At 36.8% G+C, this 8393-nt stretch overlaps 1 pseudogene; it reads right to left on the minus strand.

Moving 5' to 3' along the window:
• LGMNP1 (legumain pseudogene 1) lies at positions 6216–8173 on the minus strand (annotated as a pseudogene).

Below are 8393 nucleotides of genomic sequence, written 5' to 3' on the forward strand. Positions count from 1 at the left end.
ATGATAGTTTTTGATATTTATTATTGGTTTCTCATGTGGTTTTCAATGCATATTTAAGTATTGGTACCCTTAGGCATAGACTAGGTGAAGCTGACTCTCAGAGGTAACAATTACTCTGTCATTTCACAGATATTTTCTTCCTGTATCATTTTTCTCTTTACACTACTTGAATGAGTTCAATATAGAATAATGCTTTTAATATTTTAAATAAATAGTACAAAACTATTTAGTCTCAATATTCTGAAATAACTTATTAGTCTGAAATGGAAATGCCTTTTCATTTCTAAAACTTAGAAAAGGGTTCAGTCCTGGGAAAATGGTTTGAAGTCATATTTTAAAAGTAAAAAAACTCATAAATATAAAAATTAGGAAGTAAGTATAAAGTAATAAAAGCAAAAAGTTTATAGAAATAGAATATTAGTTTGGGAATTATCAAGGAAAAATAGAAAAACAATCTAGAAGCAGTCTGTCATAATTCTCTCTATATATGTTCATGAGAGGTATGATGAGTCTAGCTCTGTTTAATAAACCCCTTGTTTTACAATGCTTTTCTACTGAGAAGCTAAGAAGACTACTTTTAGGGTCTTCATTAACCTTGTGCTTAAAGTATATGTTCCCAATCTCATTGCAAATTATGTTTTAGCTAACCATTTCTCAGTATATCTATTCTAACATTCCAGTTTTTCACCTGCACCCCTGAAATATGCTCCAAAGAGGACTATACTTTCCATTTTGCCTCCAGAGTCAATTTTGTAAACTTCAAACAGAGTAATCCTTTGAAAAATAAAATAAAATGATTTCATCTCCTGTTCAAAATCCCACCAATGGCTGCCCACAACACATAAGTGCTAAGTGGTTATAATGGTTTATAGTATTTTGTACGTTGTGGCTCTTAGAAAACTTTCCAATATCTCTACTCTTTGTCCTTCTTGCTTAGCCTATTTAAAAAGGCAATTTTGTACTACCCCTTCCCCAAGCTCTATTCCATTAATGCATTTTACTTTTCTCTAAAAACATGCATCATTGACAGGCATTACACCAAGTATACTTTTTATTCAATTAAAAGCTTCAGAAGGACATGACATAATTTGTAAAATCAATGATTTCACACCAGTTTTTGGATCAGCACCTCCAATATAAAGATATGTAATAATGACAAGTTTAATAAATCAGTGGATAAATAAACTGCCAGTTGCTTCATTGGCAAAACATAATATGGACTAATTCTCTCCTAAATTTTAACTTGATAAAATCAATAAATGAGAAAATATTAAGGAGTGAGAGCTTAATGTAAAAATAAAAATGGAGAAACAAGTAGTGAATGATTTGGGTTAGGTGGAATGAACAGGAGGAGGAGAAAAATAAGACCTTTGCCAATTATGATGCATAATAACTTAAAAATACAAGGAGAGAACATTGGGACTGTATCGAAAAACTGCTGAGTTTTTTGTTGTGTTTTATGCCTTATTTATTTTTGATAAAGGCTAGTTTAAATTGACTTTACAGAACTAGTTATAATACTATTCACTGACTCTTAAATTCCACATATTTTTATATACTCATATTTTAATATAAATTAAAAATTTGTCAGTCCTGGTTGTTGAAAACCTTTTAAATTTGCAAAAGCAGAAAGTGAAATAGCAACTAATTTTACAATCATAACTTAGAAAAATTGTTAAATCATTTCATAAATAAACCAAGCCATAAAACATTGTTTAAAATAACTAAGAGAGTACAAAGAACGCTATGCTTAGTAAATTAAGCTTGGCCATCCCCATTTTCTTTACTTAATGCCTCATTCATTTAGGTAGCCAAGCTAAATAAGTACTTTCTACCAAAAATTCTGATTAAAATTCTTAAATCATTTCTGCTCCAGCTCACTTGATAACTACTTTTCCAATTTTGTGTTTGTCTTGGTTATGTTCCCAGCAGGTTGTTAACAATTAATTAGCAATACTTCTCAAATGTTATGTGTGTTAGTCTACTAATTGCAGGGCAGGAAAATGGAATTTCCCTTTGTAAACAAATGGTAATCATGATCACTTATTTTAGATAAGGCAATACAAATTTTCCTTATATTTGTGTTGCTGTTACTTAGACTTACAGCCAAAAGGCATGAATTGTATTTATAAGTATTGGATGAAGCTATTCATAAGTTACACAAAAAGAATTTTGAATCATTTAGTTTTGAACAGCACCATCTCATTTTAATCCTTTCATCTTATTCCTTAGTAAAAGCAATGTAAACACATGCCTTGTGTGTGAAGGGTGTGTGTGTGCATGTGTGTATTTATATTTACGACTCAAAAGAAAATCTTGGAAGAAGTTGTTTAGATTAGCAATTATGATTCCAGAACAAGCATAAATTTCACATTTCTATCAAAAGTCTTAATGGTTATTTTTTAAAAATGAATTTGCTCATATGTTAAAGATATTGTTATGATTTTAGTCAACCTTACACATATTTTAATTCATAGTCTTCAGTATTTTCTATGGTATGTACTTTTTTTGACTTGTTCTATTCCTAGCTATTCATAGAATGCTTGAAATGGAATTCATCTTATGTATTTTCTAATATACCCACCTAATTTTATAGTTGAGAAAATTTAGGACCAGGAGAAGATAATTTGAATTTCAAAAGGTCATTGTCACAGGTACAATAGATTGGCTCACTGGCATATATTCTAAACTGTTTCTAGTGTGCCTTCCTCAAAGGAAGAGGATGGAACAGTAAAAGTCAATTTCCTTCACTTAAACAATGTGTATGTTTGAATTAATTCAGGCTGGTTTACATTTGGTTGGTTAGTAAGTGTCAAAAGAGGTGGTATATAACAAGTGTCTGTTTTAATAGTTTAGATTGTAGCAACTACCATACCCCTTAGATTCAAAACCATAGTGGTGTCTACTCAGTCCCTACATTGTAGCTATGGGCATTTAATTGTGGAATGAGAAGGTAACACAGAATGGCTAATTCCTTCATGGATCTACTCTGGTAGTTGTCAGAGAATTTCCTGGACTGTCCACCCAACCATGCTAGCATCTGCTTATGTCCTGCCTTCAATAGTTTTGAAAGTGTGAAAATGTTTTGTATTACCTTTTGTTCTGCTTAAACTGAATAGAATGGTTTCTGTTATATGAAACTGAAGAGTAACATGGATAATTCTCATATAGTAATATGTTTTGAGATAGGACCAGGAACTCCTAGCTAATTGCTGGTGGATAGATAATAGAAAACTAGGGGACTGGAAATGTATAGGTAAATTTTAAAAATTGTTTGAATACTGAGCAGAAATAATTTTTCTTTGTATTATTATGTAGGTAAATCTCAATGTTCTGCATTTTTATCTCATAGAGAAGATAAAACTGATACATGTGCCATTTAGCCCCTTGCTTCCCAAAGTTTTTTATATTATGATACACATAGAAATCAATAGTATTTGTGTGGTCCACTCATGTAAAGGGATTCAGATTATCCCAAGTTCCATCAGACCATCTATGTACTTTATGCATCACACACCAGTCTACATGAGAAATCTCATTGTCAAAGTCAAAATGTTTGTCATTTGAAATCTGACTTTAAGCATCCAAATAATGACCATCTCTTACTTTTTTTTTTAATTTTTCTTTTTTTTTTTTTTAAGTTTTGAGATGGAGTCTCACTCTGTCTCCTAGGCTGGAGTGCAGTGGTGCGATCTTGGCTCACTGCAAGTTCCGCCCCCCGGTTCGTGCCATTCTCCTGCCTCAGCCTCCCAAGTAGCTGGGACTACAGGCGCCTGCCACCACACCCAGCTAATTTTTTTGTATTGTTTAGTGGAGACGGGGTTTCCCCTTGTTAGCCAGGATGGTCTCGATCTCCTGACCTCATGATCCGCCCGCCTCGGCCTCCCAAAATGCTGGGATTACAGGAGTAAGCCACTGCGCCCGGCCCATCTCTTACTTCTAAAGCTCACTCTAACATTTCACCTTCAACAGTTCTTAAAATCGTATCAGGACCTCCAAGTCATCAATCATTTCATTGCTTACCTTCCTCCTTTGATTAGATTAAATTTTAGACTTCATATTCTAGCCACTCTTTTGCATACATTTTTAGCACAACAGAAATAATTTTATTAACTTCTACAGTTACTTTGTGAATGAAATTATATAATTTTAATGAAGTGCTTAAATATGATCCAATACATAGGACACATTAAATAAACATAAGCTACTACAGTTTTAAGTGAGTTTTCTCAAATGTGCCTAAAGAACTGTTTTATACATAAATAGGTGAAGACAAAGTATTATTTTGATCAGAATTAATCTTTATTTTTTGAGATTATTAAAAAACTTTGAGAAATTCTTTTCATTTTTCTAATAACTTGATGATATTAAAGTAGTTGTCTTATGGTTTAATATAGGTGATTTAGAGTAGAATTGTCAATATTCAGCTAAAAATATTATTCAACAGGTAAACAATTTGTGTTGTAACAATCATTTTGTAATGTACTTTGTATGTTCTTAGAAACTATTATTTCTAATATCAAAATTAAGAACCAATAGAATATTCAGTATAAGCATCATTTATATGGGTATAGATAAGTTAAATATAGATACAGCTATTAGATATAGATATACACACGATAAAACTGTTTTGTTTTGTTTTGTTTTGTTTTTTTGAGACGGATTCTCGCTCTGTCACCCAGGCTGGAGTGCAGTGGCGCCATCTCGGCTCACTACAAGCTCTGCCTCCCAGGTTCATACCATTCTCTTTCCTCAGCCTCCTGAGTAGCTGGGACTACAGGTGCCCACCACCACATCTGTCCAATTTTTTGTATTTTTAGAACAAATGGGGTTTCACCATGTTAGCCAGGATGGTCTCGATCTCCTGACCTCGTGATCTGCCCACCTGAGCCTCCCAAAGTGCTGGGATTACAGTGATAAAACTTTTATGTTATCATTATTATAAACATAAACTATAAAAGTAATTGAGAAAAAACGTATGTTCTAAAATATATGTAAAATGCTAACTAAACTGAAATAAAGTTAGTTTTAACTAAAATTGAGTACTTTTGCAAAATTACAGAATAATCTTCAAAAGTTGCCTCAATGTGCTAAATAACTGTTCACAGTTTAGTTAGAAGTTATATTTTTAATAAGTAATAAATTATGTTATTTCATTACATACAACATTTAACAGATAGTCTCCTTTCTTAAATTATGGTGATCTAAGCCCAATAAAAATTTTAGTTCAGTGGCCAGGCCCGTTGGCTCATGCCTGTAATCCCAGCATTTTGGGAGGCTGAGGTGGGTGCATCATTTGAGGTCAGGAGTTCGAGACCAACATGGTGAAACCCCGTTTCTACTAAAAATACAAAAATTAGCTGGGTGTGGTGGTGCAGGCCTGTAATCCCAGCTACTCAGGAGGCTGAGGCAGGAGAATTACTTGAACCCGGGAGAGGAAGTTTACAGTGAGCTGAGGTCACACCACTGCACTCCAGCCTGGGCAACAGAGTGAGACTCTGTCTCAAGAAAAAAAAAAATTAGTTCAAATATTGTATCTTGCACAATATAGGACACTGAGGAACCTTCTTAATAGCACTCACGGATCAGTAGAATCACAGAAGTGACCCCTAGTTTTCTAACACACTTACGTTATTTCTGTCACTCTATCACTGATGACATTGATTTCTGGTAACCATAAAATACTTAAGAGGGATGAAAACAGAAAATAAGCTTTATTCACATGTTAGGAACATGTTTTAAGACTTTTTATTTACATACCTGTAAACATCAAGTGTAATTTCTTCCCTTCGATAGGAGATAATATTTAGGTAAGACTTAAAGCAAAACACGACCCCAAAACTTGTCTTCCATCATTGCTAAAATGATCATTTAAAGCCAGTCTACCTGAGCAGAACCTAATTCACATATTCCTTCACATATTTTGTCACTACCTGGAAAATATGTTTAGAAACTAAAATTAAGACAACTATGCAGAGCAGACACAGGGTAGCCAGTCAAACAATAGCTTAAAATATCCAGCATACTAAAATGGAGTCACTGAATCTGAGAATAAGTTGTAAGATCAGGTAATGACAAAACACATCCTATTAATCCAAAACTTTGTCAAGAATGGAATGCTTGACTCTCAAAAAAAGCAATTTGAGTTTACTATAAAGTAAGTGTTTTTTTTTTTCCATAAAAGGAAGAAAAACTTTTTATTTTATTTTATTTTATTTTGGTGGGACTCTGTTATAAATCTTTATTTTTTAGTACTTGAACACTGGCAGAACTAAATACAAAAGCAATAAAAAATCATAATATTTTCTAAAAATAGTTTTCCATTTGGGGCTTGCGGCCCCCTTCAATAAAATCATTCTGAAGATTTAAAGGGGTTTCAGCTTCAAATTTCTCAGAATAAAGACTCCTTTTGAGCGGGGCTACAGAAGCCCCCATGAACTTCCTGCTCCTTAAAACTAATGGGCAAAACAAAAACAAAACAAAAAAACCTCCTAGAAAGCAAATATGACCCTTCTCAATACAGAGCTTTCCCCACTCCAATTTGTAGGTTTTCAGAGAAGACTGGGGAAGTAGGTAACAGCGAGCAAGTCATCCTGTGAGGAAGGTCCTGGAGCGAGCCCTAGAGTGGGGACTCCCCAGGAGGGCCCGGAGCAGCGGGGACTTCTCACTCCACCTCTTCAGTCTCTGATTAGCACACATTCGGGGGAGTGCTTCCACTTGGAAAAGCTTCCAGGAGGCAGCTCTTCAGTAGCGACCGAGGCACACGTGGTCCATGGACAATTTTATCCTGTGAAGCGGATACGGTTTCTCACAAAGGTTGGCCAGCACGTACAAATGTCTCAACGCATACTCGCACGTGGGGGAGTGCCAGTTGAAGCAGTGGGTCTGGAAGTGCAGCAGGGCCTCCAGGTAGCAGCTATGCCCCGTGAACGGGGCTCTCTCAGACAGGAGCTGCTCCACCTCAGCCTCGGACGCTGCCAGCAAGGAGGCGATCTTGCGCACTGACTTCTCAATGAGGTGCCTGGCATCCAGATGCCGCTGGATCTCCTCTGTGAGCTGCCTGGAGTCCTCCAGATCGTTGGTGTTCATCAGTTTCCTTTTCACGATCATGAGGGGCACATCAGGGCTGGGGGTGAGGTCAAGGTGTGTGACTGGAGGCAGGGAGATAGGAGAACTGGCTTTGTGTTTCATACTCTGAAACTGCATCACTTTAATGTGGAGATCGTTTCGTTTCCGTACTGCATGATGTGGCTGGTATTGGTGTATGATTTTACCAGGCGGCACTGCTTGTGCAGGGTCTGGTTAGTCAGATCTTCCACGTCCGAGTCTTCCATCCAGTTGACGCTGTACCAGTCCCCCAGGTACGTCGACCTCTTCTCATCATAGTAACAGGTGTAGGACGACTCTCTGGGGTTGGCAGCAGTAGTTGCATAAACATTAGTATCACCAGGCAGGTGGTTCATCATGGACCCAGACTCACAGGCTTCAATATAGAACACCATCTTTTGGTACATTTTATGTATGTACATGTAATGGATGGTCTCATTCAGGTACTTTACATGAAGATCTTCATTGGGAAAAACCAGTATTCCAGTAGATCCATGGTCAGTGAAGTAAACGAACACATACATGATCCTGGGGACCGCTCTTCAGGACTTTCCCGGTTCCTATGCCCTTCACTGCTTCTGCATCGCCTGTCAACACAGCAAGGAAATTTTGTGGGGTAACATCCTCTCCAGTGTAGTCAGTCCTTCGGGAATCCCTGATAGACATCCGTGCCATTGGGTCTGTTGATCACAATTCCTGGAGTGGGATTGTCTTCAGAGTGAGCAGTGTCATCGTACATCATAACAATGATGTGCTCGTCTGGAATCCCATTCCAGTAAATGATCTGGTAGGCATGGCACGCAGCTGCCTGGTGCCTGTAATTATACCAGCCATTTGAACCCGCCACGATCACCACCCAGTGCTTGCGTCCATCTTCAGGATCATCTATGGGAACAGCACCAGTGCCCAGTGCCACGCTGAGGAATACAGCTACTTTCCAAAGCCTTCTGCACTTTGGAGTTCAACTGCAGAAACCTGTGATAAGCGATCGTGGTGGCAGTGGTGGCAGCAGTGGCAGCCGCGGTGCCGAGTGACCGCGGTGGTGGCGGCAGCGGGACCGTGAGAAAAATCTTAATTATAAATTGGAAAATAATGTAACAGTGCAGCATAATATTCTCAGATAAAATATATCCAAGCAAATACAATGGAATTTTGCATCATGGGAAAGTTGTTGGAAGTATTTAGTTTGCCGAATCTAATAAAATCTTATTGTACTTTCTGCACTTATTTACAGTAAATGTGGCATAGTTCTTGTTTCTCCTTGACAGTACTTTTTGAAAATTGTG

Source organism: Homo sapiens, chromosome 13 (assembly GCF_000001405.40).
Source record: "Homo sapiens chromosome 13, GRCh38.p14 Primary Assembly".
Classification (NCBI taxonomy): domain Eukaryota; kingdom Metazoa; phylum Chordata; class Mammalia; order Primates; family Hominidae; genus Homo; species Homo sapiens.